Genomic DNA, 17,679 nt, shown 5'->3' with positions numbered 1-17,679 from the left:
ATTTACATTCATAAGGTTTCTACCATGAATTTTGGTTTGAAAAACAAATTGACTTTACACATGAGGATTTCCCATATTTGTTACAATTCAGAGTATCACTCTTGTGTGGAGGATGACTTCATACAGATTTCCCACATGTATTGCCTTCATATGGTTTCTCCCCTGTGTGAGTTCTCTGATGATTGATGAGGTTTGACTTCACATAAAACATTTTCCTGCATTCATTACACTCAAAAGGGTTCTTCCTGGTATGGGGTCTCTGATGCACAGTGAGGTGTGATTTCATACAGAAATAAGTAACAGATTTGCTACATTTATAGGGCTTCTCTTCTATGTGAGTTCTCTGGTGAATGGTCAAGGGTGACTTATAACAGAAGGATTTCCCACATTTATTACATTCATGGGGTATCTCCCCTGGGTGTGTCCTCTGATGTTCAATGAGGTGTGACTTCTGGAAGGTTTTTCCACATTGCTTACATTCATAGGGTTTCTTGTGTGGTGTATTTTCGATGATGTTTAGCAAGGTGTGACCTCTGGTAGGTTTTCCCACATTCTTTACATTCACAATGTTCCTCCCATATATGTATCCTCTGATGCTGACTGAGGGCTGACTTCATATAGAAAGATTTTCTACATTCATTACATTTATAAGGCTTCTCCCCATATGAGTTCTCTGATGTACTGTTAGGGTTGATTTATGGTGAAAAGTTTTCTGACATTCAGTACATTCATAGGATTTCTCTTCTCAGTGTGTTCTCTGATGATCAGTGAAGTTTGACTTCATAGAAAAGGCCTTCCCACATTCATTACATACATGGGGTCTCTTTCCTGTGTGATTTCTCAGATGAATATTAAGATGTGACTTCAGGCCAAGTGCAGTAGCTCATGCCTGTAATCCCAGGACTTTGGGAGGCCAAGGCAGGCTGATCACTTGAGGTCAGGGGTTTAAGACCAGCCTGTCTCTACTAAAAATACAAAAATTAGCTGGGCATGGTGGCAGGCACCTGTAATCCCAGCTAGTTGGGAGGCTGAGGCATGACAATCGCTTAAACCCAGGAGGTGGAGGCTGCAGCGAGCCAAGATCACGCCACTGCACTCCAGCCTGGGTGACAGAGCGAGACTCCATCTCAAAAAATTAAAAAAAAAAAAAAAAAGATGTGACTTCAGATAGGATTTTTCACACTCATTACATTTGTAAGGTTTCTCTCCAGTGTGAGTTCTCTGGTGTATAACTAGGGTTGTAAGGACTTCCTACGTTCATTACATTTATGTGGCCTCTCCCGTGTGAGTTCTGTTATGTTTAGTGAGGGCATCCTTGTTGTAGAAGGACTTCTCACATTCATTGCATCCACAGGGTTTCTCCCCAGTGTGAGTTCTCTGATACACAATGAGGATTGAATTCATATTTTCCACATTCACTACATTCATATGGCTTTTCCCTGGTGTGAATTTTGTTGTTTACTGAGACTTGACTTCACACAAAAGGATTTCACACATTCATTACACGCATAGGGTTTCTTATCTGTGTTTCCTCATGTATAATTAGCACTGATTTATAGAAGGATTTCTCACACTCAGTATATTTATAGGGTTTCTCTTCTGTGTGCTTTCCCTGATGGACATTTAGGGTTGACTTATAGTAGAAGGACTGATTTTCCACATTCATTAATTTTTTTTTTTTTTTTTTTTTTTGAGACGGAGTCTTGCTCTGTCACCCAGGCTGGAGTGCAGAGGCATGATCTCGGCTCACTGCAAGCTCTGCCTCCTGGGTTCACGCCATTCTCCTGCCTCAGCCTCCCAAGTAGCTGGTACTACAGGCACCCGCTACCACACTCGGCTAATTTTTTGTATTTTTAGTACAGACAGGGTTTCACTGTGTTAGCCAGGATGGTCTCAATCTCCTGACCTCGTGATCTGCCCGCCTTGGCCTCCCAAAGTGCTGGGATTACAGGCATGAGCCACCGCGCCCGGCCAACAAATTCATTACATTTGCAGGATTTCTCTCATGTGTGTTTTCTCTAATAATCAGCAAATTGTGACTGCTGGAAGAAAGTTCTTCCACACGCAGTACATTTGAAAGGTTTCTCCCCTATATGTGTTTTCTGATGTTTAGTGAGGTTTGGTTTCACATGGAAGGATTTCCTACATTCCTTACATTCATATGGTTTCTCCCCTGTGTGAGTTCTCTGATGATGACTGAAGTTTGATTTTGCTTAGGATTTCCCATTACACTGATAGGGTTTCTCCCTGTGTGAATACTCTGATGGACTCTTAGGACTGAGCTATGACAAAAACGTTTCTTACAGTCACTACATACATAAAGCTTCTTTTCTGATTGACTTATCTGGTGATCAGTGAGGGCTGACTTCACAAGGGTTTTACCAGATTCATGGGGTTTCTCTTCTCGATGCATTATCTGAGAGTTGGTAAGTTGTCATTTCTGGAAGGTTTTCCCATATTTATTACTTTCACATGGTTTCTCTCTTGTGCATGTCCTGTGATGCTCAGTGAAGTGGGACTCCTGGCAAAAAGATTTCTTGCCATGACTACATTCAAAAGTTTTCTCTACTGTGTGAGTTCTATGAGGCAGACTGAGATGTGACTTGTGACTGAAATTCTCATTTTCATTAGCTCCCTGGGTTTTCACCCCTGTATTAACTTTCTGATGTTTGAAGAAGGTTGACTTCTCACACTCGTTAACTTCAGAGTGATTCTTCCTTGTGTGAATTTCTTGATGAACTCTGGGAGCTGATGTGGCACTGACATTTTCCCCATGCTCCTTATAATCACAGGGTTTCTCTCTTGTTTGAGCTGTCTCTTGTGTGATGGTGGCTACCTTCTCAAGGAAGGGATTTCCATGTTCATTAGCTTCCAAAGGTGGGCTAAAGCTTGAATTTCCTGTTCCTTAATAAGGTCCTCACTATGACTTGGTGACTTCCCACTTTGGTTATATACAACAGATTTCTTCCCAGTATGAGTGTTTTCCTGATTACTATCAAAAGGCAACTTCTCACTTATATTAATTTCATCAGTGTTATTACTGGCATAATTTTTATCACTAATACTTGATTCTGAAACGTATTCAAACTCATTCCACATGAGTCATACTAACAGGCTATTTTTCTTGAAGAAACTGGGTTTGCACCCAGATTAAGGTTTTTCCCAAAAACGTATTCCCTCTTCTTAGTCAGTGTGTTGTTACTGAGAACTGAAGTGTACCACAAATATGCATCTCGATTTTCCTGGCTTCCCTTTATCAGGTCTCTTAATTTCTGGACTTCTAGAAATGAGAAAAATTAAGTATACGTTAAAAATGTTAAAACATTTCCTATGTACGTGTGATTTATATCATGGATTCTCTATTTTCAGGCCCAGCCTCCTGGGATGAAATCCCAAATACATATTTCACCTTGGTTCCAAAAAATAAAAATGAAAACCGCCTGCTATAGTGGAAAAGGGAGGAAAAACTTGCAAGGAACACACATATATTTGCTATTTTTAAAAAGATGACCCTCAAAACTGAAAAGGTGAAATTATTAAACATAGGGAACAGTTAACTGAGGGAAAAGCATGACAGAGAAACTAAAAAAATGAGGTCAGCCCAACAGAAATCATAAGCAGGAAATGGAGTGAAAAGCAGTGTTTGGAGACATGGCTGTTAAGGAGAAATACCACAGGATGGTTTAGATGTGAGAGAAAACAGATGAGCAAGGCCTATATAGATAGGCCAGGTGTGGTGGCTCAAGCCTGTAATCCCAGCACTTTGGGAGGCCGAGAAGGGCAGATCACGAGGTCAGGAGATCGAGACCATCCTGGCTAACATGGTGAAACCCCGTCTCTACTAAAAATGCAAAAACAAAATTAGCCAGGCATGGTGGCGGATGCGTGCAGTCCCAGCTACTTGGGAGGCTGAGGCAGGAGAATGGCATGAACCCAGGAGGCAGAGCTTGCACTAAGCTGAGGTCACGCCACTGCACTCCAGCCTGAGTGACAGAGCGAGACTCCATCTCAAAAAAAAAAAAAAAAAGCTCTCCCTCTCCCCACGATCTCCCTCTCCCTCTCTTTCCACAGTCTCCCTCTGATGCCGAGCCGAAGCTGGACTGTACTGCTGCCATCTCGGCTCACTGCAGCCTCCCTGCCCAATTCTCCTGCCTCAGCCTGCCGAGTGCCTGCGATTGCAGGCGCGCGCCGCCACGCCTGACTGGTTTTCGTATTTTTTTGGTGGAGACGGGGTTTCGCTGTGTTGGCCGGGCTGGTCTCCAGCTCCTAACCGTGAGTGATCCGCCAGCCTCGGCCTCCCGAGGTGCCAGGATTGCAGATGGAGTCTGGTTCACTTAGTGCTCAATGGTGCCCAGGCTGGAGTGCAGTAGCGTGATCTCGGCTCGCTACAACCTCCACCTCCCAGCTGCCTGCCTTGGCCTCCCGAAGTGCCGAGATTGCAGCCTCTGCCCAGCCGCCACCCCGTCTGGGAAGTGAGGAGCGTCTCTGCCTGGCCACCCATCGTCTGGGACGTGAGGAGCCCCTCTGCCTGGCTGCCCAGTCTGGAAAGTGAGGAGCGTCTCTGCCCGGTCGCCATCCCATCTAGGAAGTGAGGAGCGCCTCTTCCCGGCCGCCATCCCATCTAGGAAGTGAGGAGCGTCTCTGCCCGGCCGCCCATCGTCTGAGATGTGGGGAGCGCCTCTGCCCCGCCGCCCTGTCTGGGATGTGAGGAGCGCCTCTACCCGGTCGCAACCCCGTCTGGGAGGTGAGGAGTGTCTCTGCCCGGCCGCCCCGTCTGAGAAGAGAGGAGACCCTCCGCCTGGCAACCGCCCCGTCTGAGAAGTGAGGAGCCCCTCCGCCTGGCAGCAGCCCCATCTAAGAAGTGAGGAGCCCCTCCGCCCGGCAGCCACCCCGTCTGGGAAGTGAAGAGTGTCTCCGCCCGGCAGCCACCCCGTCCGGGAGGGAGGTGGGGGTCAGCCCCCGCCAGGCCAGCTGCCCCGTCCGAGAGGGAGGTGGGGGGGGTCAGCCCCCGCCCCCGGCCAGCCGCCCCGTCCGGGAGGTGAGGGGCGCCTCTGCCCGGCCACCCCTACTGGGAAGTGAGGAGCCCCTCTGCCCGGCCAGCCGCCCCGCCCAGGAGGGAGGTGGGGGGGTCAGCCCCCCGCCCGGCCAGCCGCCCCGTCCGGGAAGTGAGGGGCACCTCTGCCCGGCCGCCCCTACTGGGAAGTGAGGAGCCCCTCTGCCCGGCCAGCCGCCCCGTCCGGGAGGGAGGTGGGGGGGTCAGCCCCCCGCCCGGCCAGCCGCCCCGTCTGGGAGGGAGGTGGGGGGGTCAGCCCCCCCGCCCGGCCAGCCGCCCCGTCCGGGAGGGAGGTGGGGGGGGTCAGCCCCCTGCCCGGCCAGCCGACCCGTCCGGGAGGTGAGGGGCGCCTCTGCCCGGCCGCCCCTACTGGGAAGTGAGGAGCCCCTCTGCCCAGCCAGCCGCCTCGTCCGAGAAGGAGGTGGGGTGTCAGCCCCCCGCCCGGCCAGCCGCCCCGTCTGGGAGGGAGGTGGGGGGGTTAGCCCCCCGCCCGGCCAGCCGCCCCGTCCGGGAGGGAGGTGGGGGGATCAGCCCCCCGCCCGGCCAGCCGCCCCGTCCGGGAGGGAGGTGGGGGGGTCAGCCCCCCGCCCGGCCAGCCGCCCCGTCCGGGAGGTGAGGGGCGCCTCTGCCCGGCCGCCCCTACTGGAAAGTGAGGAGCCCCTCTGCCCGGCCACCACCCCGTCTGGGAGGTGTGCCCAACAGCTCATTGAGAACAGGCCATGATGACAATGGCGGTTTTGTGGAATAGAAAGGGGGGAAAGGCGGGGAAAAGATTGAGAAATCGGATGGTTGCCGTGTCTGTGTAGAAAGAGGTAGACATGGGAGACTTTTCATTTTGCTCTGTACTAAGAAAAATTCTTATCCTGTTGATCGGTGACCTTACCCCCAACCCCGTGCTCTCTGAAACATGTGCTGTGTCCACTCAGGGTTAAATGGATTAAGGGCCATGCAAGATGTGCTTTGTTAAACAGATGCTTGAAGGCAGCATGCTTGTTAAGAGTCACCACCACTCCCTAATCTAACCCAGGTACACAAACACTGCGGAAGGCCGCAGGGTCCTCTGCCTAGGAAAACCAGAGACCTTTGTTTACTTGTTTATCTGCTGACCTTCCCTCCACTACTGTCCTATGACCCTGCCAAATCCCCCTCTGCGAGAAACACCCAAGAATGAACAATAAAAAAAAAAAAAAAAAAAAAAAGACCTATATAGATAAAGCCCACTATCTATGTGCCAACAGATAAAATAAGACTTATATTAGTTCAAAGTATCCTTACAAAAATCCACAATAAATATCTTCTAAAATATTCATTCCCAAACACAAGTCATGAGACTGACAGAGATTCTTACATTCAACTAGCTTGCTTTTCAGCTTTGGCTCTACAAAAAACTCAGTTATCCTCCAGAAAATGTACCCTCAACACACACACCCCTTTTTCAAATCATGCCCCTTAAACTACGTCATGGATGTTAAGGAGAAATATCACAGGATGGCGTAGATGTGAGAGAAAACAGATGAATAAGACCTATATAGATAAAGCCCACTATCTATGTGCCAACAGATAAAATAAGGTTTATATTAGTTCAAGGTATCCTTACAAGAATCCACAATAAATATCTTCTAAAATACTCATTCCCAAACAAGAGTCACAAGTCTAACAGAGATTCTTACACTCAACTAGCTTGCTTTTCGGCCTTGGCTCTATAAAACACTCAGTTATCCTCCAGAAAATGTACCCCCACACATACACCTTTGCAAATCATGCCCCTTAAACTATATTTTCTTAAAAATTTGAAAGCAGGCCAGGCATGGTGGCTCACGCCTGTAATCCCAACTCTTTGGGAGACCAAGGTGGGTGGATCACCTGAAGTCAGGAGTTCGAGACCAGCCTGGCCAACATGGCAAAACCCCATCTATACTAAAAATAGAAAAATTAGCTGGGCGTGGTGGCGGGCACCTATAATCCCAGCTACTCAGGAGGCTAAGACAGGAGAATCACTTGAACCTGAGAGGTGGAGGTTGCAGTGAGCCAAGATCCTGCCACTGCACTCCAGCCTGGGCAACAGAGTAAGACTCCACTTCAAAAAAATAATAATAAAATCAATGACCTCATCTTCTACCTTTTTAGAAACCAGAAAAAGAGCAAATTACACCTAAGTAGTCAGAAAAAAGTAATAAAAGTGAGAACAGAAAACAACAAAATAGAGAACAGAGAAACAAAAATCAGTAATATATAAAACTTTTTTAAAAATCAATAAATGTTTCAAACCTCTAGCTACACTGATGAGAGACAGAGAAGAGGAGGAGGCAACACCAACAAATTATCGCCACCAGGGGTGAGAGGTAACATCACTAGAAATTCCACAGATACAAGATGGGGTAAGAATATTAGAACAGCTTTGTACCAGGTGAACACTAATATTTAATAATCAAACAATTTGTGATACTAACAAATAGATAAGGAAAACCATATAATTTTATCAATAGATGCAGAAAAGAATTTGACAAAACACTGATTCCTGATTTTTAAAAAAGGACTTTCAACAGTTTAAGAATAAAAGGGAATTTTCTCAACCTAATAAAAAGCACCTATGAAAAACCAACAGCTGCCATCACAGTAATGGTGAAAGACTTAGGGCTGTCCTCCTAAAATTAAAATAAGAAAGGCAAAGATGTCGCATCTCATTTCTATTCAACATTGTATAGGCGGTTTTAGTCAACGCAATAAAACAACAAAAAGTCACAGAGATTAAAGAAGAAGTAAAACTATTTGTAAATGACATGATAGAATTGTCTATGTAGAAAATCTTGCAGAACCTACAAGAAAGCTGCTAGAACTAGTGAGTTTAATAAGGTTGCAGGATAATTTTGCAGTATAAACATACAAAATTTGGTATTTCTACATACTAGCAAAAAACGATCATAAATTAAAATTCAATACCATTTACAAGAGTATCAAAAAAAAATGAAACACTTAGGGATACATTTGAGAGATGTGCCAGACCTGTGCCTTGTAAACTACAAAACAATCCTGAAATAAGTTAAAGACTTAAACAGATGTAGAAATATACTGGGTTGATGAAAGAATGAATACTGTTAAAGAGGTCCATTCTCCCCCAACTGATCTTACAAGTTCAATTCCAATCTTAATCCCAAATTTTTCTTTGTAGATATATACAAGCTGGTTCTAATTTTTTCTTTCTCCGCCTCCTAGATTCAAGCGACTCTCCTGCCTCAGCCTCCCTAGTAGCTGAGATTACAGGCGTATGCCACTATGCCTGGCTAATTTTTGTATTTTTAGTAGAGATGGGGTTTCACCATGTTGGCCAGGCTAAGACCTCAGGTGATCCGCCTGCCTCGGCCTCCCAAAGTGCTCGGATTACAGGCGAGAGCCACCACGCCCAGCCCTAAAATTTATATGGAAATACAAAGGGCTTCTACAGACAAAACCTGGGGTTTTTATGGGCACAGGATGGGGGGGGTGGGGTGGGCCACGGGTAGTTTGGGAAAAGGCAACATTTGAGTGGGAAAACAGGGATGTAAGTTCTCACTTTTTTTTTTTTTTTTTCCTGAGACAGAGTCTCACTCTTTTGCCCAGGCTGGACTGCAGTGGCGCTATCTTGGCTCACTGCAAGCTCCGCCTCCCGGGTTCATGCCATTCTCCTGCCTCAGCCTCCCAAGTAGCTGGGACTACAGGAACCCGCCACCACGCCCAGCTAATATTTTGTATTTTTTGTAGAGATGGGGTTTCGCCGTGTTAGCCAGGATGGTCTCGATCTCCTGACCTCGTGATCCACCCACCTTGGCCTCCCAAAGTGCTGGGATTACAGGTGTGAGCCACTGCGCCCGGCCAGTTCTCACTTTCGACCACAGTGTCAGGCTTTTCGGCTTGAGGGTAGGGCCCTCGCCAGGGACCCGCCCTCTTCTGCCCAGAATTTCCCTGCCTCCCGTCCCTACCACTACAGAGGGCATGAAATACTCGGGAAAGACTGGAAGAGTAAAAAGATGAGGGAGTAAAGGATGGACATCTGGACATAAGCCATGAGAATGTGCTGGAGGAAGACACAATGAGGGGCACCAATAAATCTGAGCAGCAGGAATAAAGCCACAAGAAGCATGTCACAAGACACTAGGGAGAGGGGCCTTTCTAGAAGGTGAAAGCAGTTCAATGCCAATGCAGCAGAATGTTCTAGGAAGGCCAGGTCAGAAAAACACGCATTGGACTGAACTGCAAAGAGGCTGCCGTTAGGCTTTATCAGGACGTCCTGGGCAGGTGGCGGGGAAGTGGCAAGAGCACACAAAGCAGACTAAAATGCGAAGGAATGAACAGATACCTGTACCCCAATGCTCACAGCAGCATTATTTACAACAATGAAAACGTGGAAAAAGTCTAAATGTCCATCTGCAAATGAAGAGGTAAAGAAAATGTGGTCGATCCACACAATGGAATATTATTCAGGCGCCGAAAGGAATGCAGCTCTGACCCAGGCCACAGCATAAAGGAACCCTGTAAACGTCATGTTCAGTGGAATAAGCCAGACACAAAAGGACAAATATTTCATGTTTGCACTTATATAAAATACCTAGAATAGGGAACTTCACAGAGGCAGAAAGTACATGTTACCGGGGCTGAGGGGAGGGAGAAATGGGGAGTTGTTGCTTAATGGAGACACACTTTTTGTTTAGAGTGATGAAAACCTTTTGGAAATAGAAACGGTGATGGCTGCACAACTGTGAATATAATTAATGCCACTGAATTGTACCATTAAGAGTGAAAATGGCAAATTTGATGTTATGTATATTTTACCACAAGCAAAAAAAGAGAATGGATAGTGCAGAAACATTCACCAAAGAATATGACTTTAGGCCAGGCACGGTGGCTCATGCCTGTAATCCCAGCACTTTAGGAGGCTGAGACAGGCGGATCACCTGAGGTCAGGAGTTTGAGACCAGCCTGGCCAACATAGTGAAACCTCGTCTCTACTAAAAATACAAAAATTGGCTGGGTGCAGTGGCTCACACCTGTAATCCCAGCACTTTGAGAGGCCGAGCCAGGCGGATCACGAGGTCAGGAGGTCAAGACCATCTTGGCTAACAGTGAAACCCCATCTCTACTAAAAATACAAAAAACTAGCCAGGCGTGGTGGTGGGCACCTGTAGTCCCAGCTACTCAGGAAGCCGAGGCAGGAGAATGGTGTGAATCCGGGAGGCGGAGTTTGCAGTGAGCCAAGATCATGCCACTGCACTGCAGCCTGGGCGACAGAGCAAGACTCTGTCTCAAAAAAAAAAAAAAATTAGCCTGCTGTGGTGACACACACCTGTAATCCTAGCTACTGAGGACGCTGAGGCAGGAGAATCAGTGGAACCCAGGAGGCAGAGGTTGCAGCGAGCCAAGATCGCACCACTGCACTCTAGCCTGGACAATAGAGTGAGACTCCGTCTCAAAAAAAAAAAAAAAAGGTTTGACTTTGAACCATCTGCTGTCCCACCTATAGAGTGTAAGGAAAAGTTATTTCAAATACAGGCAGTCCATTTCTTTCATTTCTCCAAATGCTTTTAGGTTTTGTCCTTAGATCAAAACAGATGTTCCAAAAAGTCTCTATTGAGTCCATATTGCTCTGGTCCCCCTAATAAAACCTGAGTTGTACCGCCAACTTCCAACAAAGAACAATTACAGGCAACAGGGAGGTTCACTGCAAGGTTCTTTGCTCCATGACGATGTTCAGACATTCTTTCAGACTCCAGGAAATCTTTCTGTCCCAAGAGTAACTAGTTCGTTTCTTCTGGTGGCCAGTGAAAATGAAGTGCAGATTAGGAAGATAAAAGACAAATGAAGGCCAGGCGCAGTGGCTCATGCCTGTAATCCCAGCACTTTGGGAGGCCCAGGCAGGAGGACTGCTTGAGGTCAGGGGCTCGAGACCAGACTGGCCAACATGGCGAAACCATCTCTATAAAAAATACAAAAATTAGCCGGGTGTGGTGGTGAGCACCTGTAGTCCCAGCTAGTCGGGAGACCGAGGCATGAGATTTGGTTGAACCCCAGAGGTGAAGGTTGCAGTGAGCCAAGATCACGCCACTGCATTCCAGCCTGGGCAACAGAGCAAGACTCTGTGTCAAAAAAAAAAAGACAAATCTGCCCCTCTCCTTTGACGATTGTAGGATCACATGACCACAGGGTTCCGCAGCCACCTCTGCCTACTGCTCAGTTGCCTCTCACTCCTCATTTATCCTGAAGTAGCTTTTTAAATGTCCATCTGAATAAACGAATTTTATAAAAGCCAGCAAATCCCCTGGAAAATGAAAAAATCTAAAAAAGGAACTCACCTGGGGTTTGTTCATTTTCTGATGCTCCTCTAAGAGCATGGAAACCTGTTCTTCAAATAGCGTACCTGGAAGAAGGGGGGAAGAAACAGAATGAGCGATCTGGCAGGCTCTGCACCCGCCTAATTCTCCTAAAAACCCCCACACGTCCGCTGGGTAACCTTGACCCTGCAGAAGGAAAGGAGGGAAACATCCCCGCATCCCTTTTTGACTCCAGTATGATTTAGTGGAACTTAAACCTGCAATGTTTCCCATTGCTTTAACAATTTTTGTCCCACTTCACAAACACAGAAACATTTAAAACAGAATTGAGTAGGCCAGGCAAAGTGGCTCATGCCCATAACCCCAGCGCCCTGCAAGGCCAAGGCGGGAGGATCACTTGAGGCCTGGAGTTTGAGACCAGTCTGGCCTCTGCTATCACCCTCTGCCCAGCTCCCTTCCTCTACTGGGTCTTTCAGGGCCTCCCCTAAGCCCGGGCCCCTCCGGACCACACGCTCCTCTTATGCGATTCTCTGCCCCTTCTCTGAAGCCCTGATGGGCCTCCCTTCGGAGGAGGGGTTGTCTTCCCGCTGAGATTTCTGTCCCTGAGCCCCCTCCTTGTCAACGCAGTGGAGCTGCTCTGTCCAGCAGAGCCTAAGGCACAACTCAATTTAGCAGGAACCTTGTTCGAGGCCCAAGTCCGCCTGTGAGCGCGCACGGTTCCCAGAAGCCGCGGGACGCAGCGGCCGGAGGCCCCAGGCGGCAGCCAGGCGGCCCACGAGCGGCCCCGACTCAGCGGGCCCTGGCACGGGCCCCACGCGAGGCACCTCGGAGGAGGGCCCAGGGCGGCGCGCGACACCCGTGACCCCACACCCGCCGCACCCGCCGGGCCGACAGCGCACCACCGCCGCATCCAGCGGAGGAAACCCGGAGGCGGCCCCGGCACCCCCTGCTGCGGGCGGACCGCCCCCGCCCCACCTCCGCCCCAGGCGCTGAGCCCAAGCCTCCGCGGGGAAGGCGGTCCCAGGGGCTCGGGGCTGCGACTGTTCGGACGCGCCCCGCGCCCGCTCTGCAGCCCCCCAGGCTCACCCGCCGCCCCAGCACGACCCCGCAGGCGAAGCGCACGGTCAGCCCCGCGAAGCCGCAAGCGCCTGCGCACAAAGCCCGCCAGGCTCTGCCGCGACACAGGCCCGGGCAGGAGGCTCCACCCACATGGGGCGGGGACAGTGCGGGCCCCGCCCCCGCCGACCCCCTCCATCGCCTGGCACACCTTCTCCCCCACTTCCACAACCCCTCCCCCTTCACCTCCCACCTCCACATCCCTTCCCTCTCCCTCTTCCCTTCACCCCCCCACCTCCACATCCTCTCCCCCTCCCCTTCACCCCCCACCTCCACATCCCCTCCTGCTCCCCTCCTTCACCTCCCTTCCCTCTCCCCCACATCCCTTCCCTCTCCCCCTTCCCTTCACCCCCTACCTCCACATCGCCTCCCCCTCCCCTTCACCCCCCACCTCCACATCCTCTCCCCATCCCCTTCACCCCCCACCTCTAAATCTCCACCCCCTCCCCCATCACCCCCACCTCCACATCCCCTCCCGTACAGGCAGTGGCTCACACCTGTAATCCCAGCACTTTGGGAGGCCGAGGCTGGCAGATCACCTGAGGTCAGGAGTTCAAGACCAGCCTGGCCAACATGGTGAAACCTCGTCTCTATTAAAAATACAAAAATTAGTCTGAGTGTGGCAGCGCATGCCTGTAATCCCAGCTACTGGGGAGGCTGAAGCAGGAGAATCGCTTGAATCCAAGAGGCAGAGGTTCCAGTGAGCTGAGATCGCGGCATTGCATTCCAGCCTGGGCGACCGAGCAAGACTCCATCTCAAAAAAAAGGTTGGGGCAGGTTGAGGCTCTGCAGCTCAGCAAGGAATTGTTAGCTGGGGACCACCCAAAACCTGATGTCTCTAGGTCTAGACTTCACCTTTCTCCATTCAATGACCCATTCATTCAAACATGTTAATTATGCAGATAATTATTTTTTTACTAGGCACTGTGCTGGTCCACGGGGAGAAAGAATAACAAAAAAAATCTTTCTTGTTGGATCACACTGTCTCTTGGAGGAAACAGTCATTCAACCAATAACACATAATAATGTAATAACCAAAGCTAAGAACTATAAAAGTCAGAGCCCATAGAGGACTATAAAAGAACAGAACAGGGACTGGGAGGCCGAGGCAGGCGGATAGCTTGAGCCCAGGAGTTCAAAACCAGCCTGGGCAACATGGCGAAACCCTGTCTCTACAAAAAGTACAAAAATTAGCTGGTGTGGTAGTGCACACCTGTAGTCCCAGCTACTCAGGAGGCTGAGATAGGAGAATCACCTTATCCCAGGAGGTGAAGGCTGCAGTGAGCCGAGATCGCACTGCTATATTCCAGCCTGGGGGAGAGAGTGAGACCCTACCTCAAAAAAAAAAAAAAAAAAAAAAAAAGGGCTGGGCACAGTGACTCACACCTGTAATCCCAGCACTTTGGGAGGCAGAGACAGGTGGATCACTTGAGGTCAGGAGTTCAAGACCATCCTGGCCAACATGGTGAAATCCCGTTTCTACTAACTCTACTAAAAATACAAAAATTAGCTGGGCGTGATGGTGGGTGCCTGTAATCCCAGCTACTCAGGAGGCTGAGGCAGGAGAATCGCTTGAATCTGGGAGGTGGAGTTTGCAGTGAGCCAAGATCATGCCATGGGGCTCCAGCCTCGGCAATAGAGTGAGACACCATCTCAAAAAAAAGAAAACTAGAACAGAGAAATCTAAATTAGATTAAGGGAACAGAGAAGACCTGAGAAACAGATACTTAGGCTACACTGTGAAGGATGCTTTGCCATTGAGGGCCTTTTCTGCTGCAAATACAGAAACCCAACTAAAATGAGCTTAAGCCAAAAAAATAAATCTGCTGTCTTTAAGCAACTTTAAAAGTCCAGGATGGCTCTTGCTAGCTTCAGACACAGCCAGATCTAGGGGCCCAAGCAGCAACATCAGGACGGCGTTTAGTTCTGTCTCTTGGCCGGTTTGCTTCTTTCTCTTGTATTACGGGTTGATTGTGCCCCCAGCAGCCCGCCCCCCACACCCCACCTCCCGCAAACAGAAAAAAAGATTTGTCAAAATCCTAACTCCCATCTCAGTGTTTCAGAATGTGGCCTTATTTGGGAATAAGATCATTACAGATGTAATTAGTTAAGAGTAGGGTGGACCTGGCCAGGCGTGGTGGCTCATGCCTGTAGTCCCAGCACTTTGGGAGGCTGAGGTGGGAGGATTGCTTGAGCCCAGGAGTTTGAGACCAGCCTGGGCAACATAGTGAATGAAACCCCATCACTACAAAAGATACAAAAATTAGCCAGGGTTAGTGGCGCATGCCCATAGTCCCAGCTACTCAGGAGGATGAGGCAGGAGGATGGCTTGAGACCAGGAAGTCGAGGCCGCAGTGAGCTATGATTGTGCCATTGCACTCCAGCCTGGGTGACAGACATGTTCTGTTCCTCCCTCCTTATTGAATTCCTATTACCTGAGTGTGCAGATTCTTGTGTCAATCCTCCGTATCATTATTTCTGCCTCTTCCTCTTTTTTGCTCTGTATTTTAAGAGATAAACTTTACCTTCTGTTCTTTCTTTTTCTTTTGGGCCATTATGTTTAATTTCCAAATTTTTTCTTGTTCTCTGATTTCTCTTTTTCCCACCATCCCGTTCTGATTTTACACAGGCAACATCTTCATGAATCTTGGAAGATACTGTTTTTTATTTTTAATTTTTGTGGGTACATAGTAGGCGTATATATTTATGGGGTACATGAGATATGTTGATACAGGCATGAAATGTGAAATAATCACAGCAGAGTAGGAAGATGCTAAATTTTTTTAGTCTGCACTGGAAAGAAGGAAGATACTGTTTTTTTTTTTCAAGACAGAGTCTCGCTCTGTCACCCAGGCTGGAGTGCAGTGGTGCGATCTTGACTCATTGCAGCCACACCTCCCAGGTTCAAGTGATTCTTGTGCCTCCCGAGTAGCTGGGATTACAGGGCTGTGCCACCATGCCTGGCTAATTTTGGTATCTTTAGTAGAGACAGAGTCTCGCTATGTTGCCCAGGCTGGTCTCAAACTCCTGGGCTCAAACCACCCACCCACCTTAGCCTCCCAAAGGGTTGGGATTACAGGCATGAGCCAACATAACCAGCCCGGTTTGCTGATATTTAAATTTAAAAGTTGGCTCTGGAGTGAATTCTGAAAATGACTACAAACCTCTTGAATAAAGAAGACAGAACTGTCTGCAGAAGAATTTCAAATTTCTAAGGGACCCTCCTTTCATTTTATACTTTGTTACTAATTTGGATAACTCTATTACATGGGTAGGATTTCACCCAATCATAGTGGGGTTTTTTTGTTCTGTTTTGAGATGGGATCCCGCTCTGTCACCCAGGCTGGAATGCAGCAGCGTGATCTCAGCTCACTACAACCTCCCTCTTCCAGGCTCAAGCGAGCCTCCCACCTCAGCCTCCCAAGTAGCTGGGATCACAGACACATGCCACCACACCTGGCTAATGTTGTTTATTTTTTTGTAGAGACAGGGTCTTGCTATATTGCTCAGGCTGGTCTTGAACTCCTGGGCTCAAGGAATCCTCTCACCTCTGCCTCCCAAAGTGCTGGGATTATAAAACTCACACCTGGCCTCACTGCTGTGTTTTAAAAACTAGACCCTTTGGTTCATGTTTTAATTTTTCAAACGTGATAGCTCTCCAGGAGCTGAATATAAAAGTATTCGTACTTAAAAAAAAATAATGACCGTGAAATTTTGTGACATTCTTACCATCGAGAATTGGGGTCTGTGTCCCACCCTTTGAATGAGCTCCAGTCAGTAGAGTATGGTGGATATGGTGGTGCACAACTTCTAAGATGAGACCATACAGCTTTTTTTTTTTTTTTTTTTTTTTGAGAGAGAGAGTCTCACTCTAGCCCAGGCTGGAGCGCAGTGGTGTGATCTTGGCTCACTGCAACCTCCACCTCCTGGGTTCAAGCAATTCTCCTGTCTCAGCCTCCTCAGTAGCTGGGACTACAGGCGTGCGCCACCACACCCTGCTAATTTTTGTATTTTTAGTAAATATCCATTTTGGCCAGGCTGCTCTTGAACTCCTGACCTCAAGTGATCCGCCCATCTCAGCCTCCCAAAGTGCTGGGATTACAGGCGTGAGCCACCACGCACGGCCCAAGGCCATACAGCTTCTGCCTCGTATGTGGGACATGCTCAGATCTCAGGGCCACCATAGAAGAAATCCAAGCATGCTGAGGAAGCCACGCCACACAGGAGGGCGCCTGTGTGCATGCCAGCTGACAGTCCTAATTGCCAAGTTATTGCAGCCCCAATTACAGGTGCATGATTCCAGCTGCTAAGTCCCTTCCCTGCTGAGGTCCCAGAAGTGAAGGAACAGGGGAAAGAAAGCCAGCCCTGCTGTGGCCACCTGCATTCCTGATCCCTGGAATCCTTGCACATTGCCCAACGGCTGTGATAGGAAACCACCGTGTGTGTGTGTGTTTTGGGGGGAGGTGTCATTTGTAACACAGCAGGCAGCACTGAAACAGACAATAGACAGCTTCCACCCCACTACACGCCTGCAGCAACACAGCCCGGCTGCACAGGCTCTCGTATGCGACCATCATGCTTGCAGTAGCCCGGTCTTTGCACGGCTACCTCTAGAGCACCTTCAGAAATGCCCTTAAGCATGCTGGGGTCACGTGTCATGCAAACCTTGGACAGATGACTGAACCTCTCTATGCCTTGGTTTCTTCATCTGCAAAACAGGAACGACAATAATATTGTGAGAACTAAATGGAATGAATTCACATAAAGCTCTCAGGACAGAGTCTGGTACACACGTGTTAGTGGCCATTGTTATCTGTCCTGGAATCTCTCCCTCTCTGAGAGGGGACAGGGCAGGGAGGAGGACAAGGGGGAAAAGGAAAGAGCCCTGAGTTCCTGGGTTCCCAAAAGCAGCAGCGACCTCAATACCCAGTCCCTGGAGAGAAAAGGAGCTCTGGGCCCGCAGGAAGGTGCACTGTCCTGGCTGCCTCACTCCCCCATTTTACCAAGGGCTGCCCCATGTCTCTTCGTGGCCAGCACCTCCTTAAATGCAGGTAGCTCAGACAGAGGTGCTTCTGCACCAAAGCGTTTCCTGATATGCGTCCCACCCTGGCCTCTGTCTTTGCTGAACACTGGGCAAGCCCCCTTCCTGGAGCTGGGGGCAGGTCCTGCTCAGAAGGGGGTGTGATGAGCTACAGCTTAGAGGGATTC

General features: G+C 48.9%; 1 long non-coding RNA gene and 1 pseudogene across 1 annotated transcript, besides 2 other annotated features; both read right to left on the bottom strand.

Moving 5' to 3' along the window:
* On the bottom strand, window positions 1,192-3,260 carry LOC100419773 (zinc finger protein 33B pseudogene; annotated as a pseudogene).
* On the bottom strand, window positions 3,263-12,087 carry LOC124901583 (uncharacterized). Its single transcript, XR_007060202.1, has 3 exons — window positions 12,035-12,087; window positions 11,377-11,441; window positions 3,263-3,280 (listed from the first exon to the last, which is right to left on the bottom strand). It is a non-coding gene; the product is annotated as an uncharacterized LOC124901583 (long non-coding RNA).
* Window positions 11,825-12,325: an enhancer, noted in NCBI's record as "H3K27ac hESC enhancer chr7:6703791-6704291 (GRCh37/hg19 assembly coordinates)". NCBI's record gives its function as "activates a minimal SCP1, AML or CMV promoter by ChIP-STARR-seq in naive H9 embryonic stem cells {active_cell/tissue: H9 hESC(naive)}" and the evidence as "EXISTENCE:reporter gene assay evidence [ECO:0000049][PMID:30033119]".
* Window positions 16,816-17,317: an enhancer, noted in NCBI's record as "H3K4me1 hESC enhancer chr7:6698799-6699300 (GRCh37/hg19 assembly coordinates)". NCBI's record gives its function as "activates a minimal SCP1, AML or CMV promoter by ChIP-STARR-seq in naive H9 embryonic stem cells {active_cell/tissue: H9 hESC(naive)}" and the evidence as "EXISTENCE:reporter gene assay evidence [ECO:0000049][PMID:30033119]".

The sequence above is a fragment of the Homo sapiens genome, chromosome 7, assembly GCF_000001405.40.
Source record: "Homo sapiens chromosome 7, GRCh38.p14 Primary Assembly".
In the NCBI taxonomy this organism is placed as follows: domain Eukaryota; kingdom Metazoa; phylum Chordata; class Mammalia; order Primates; family Hominidae; genus Homo; species Homo sapiens.
Note: the sequence above shows the minus strand (reverse complement) of the source record. Positions and strands in the feature narration are given on the sequence as shown.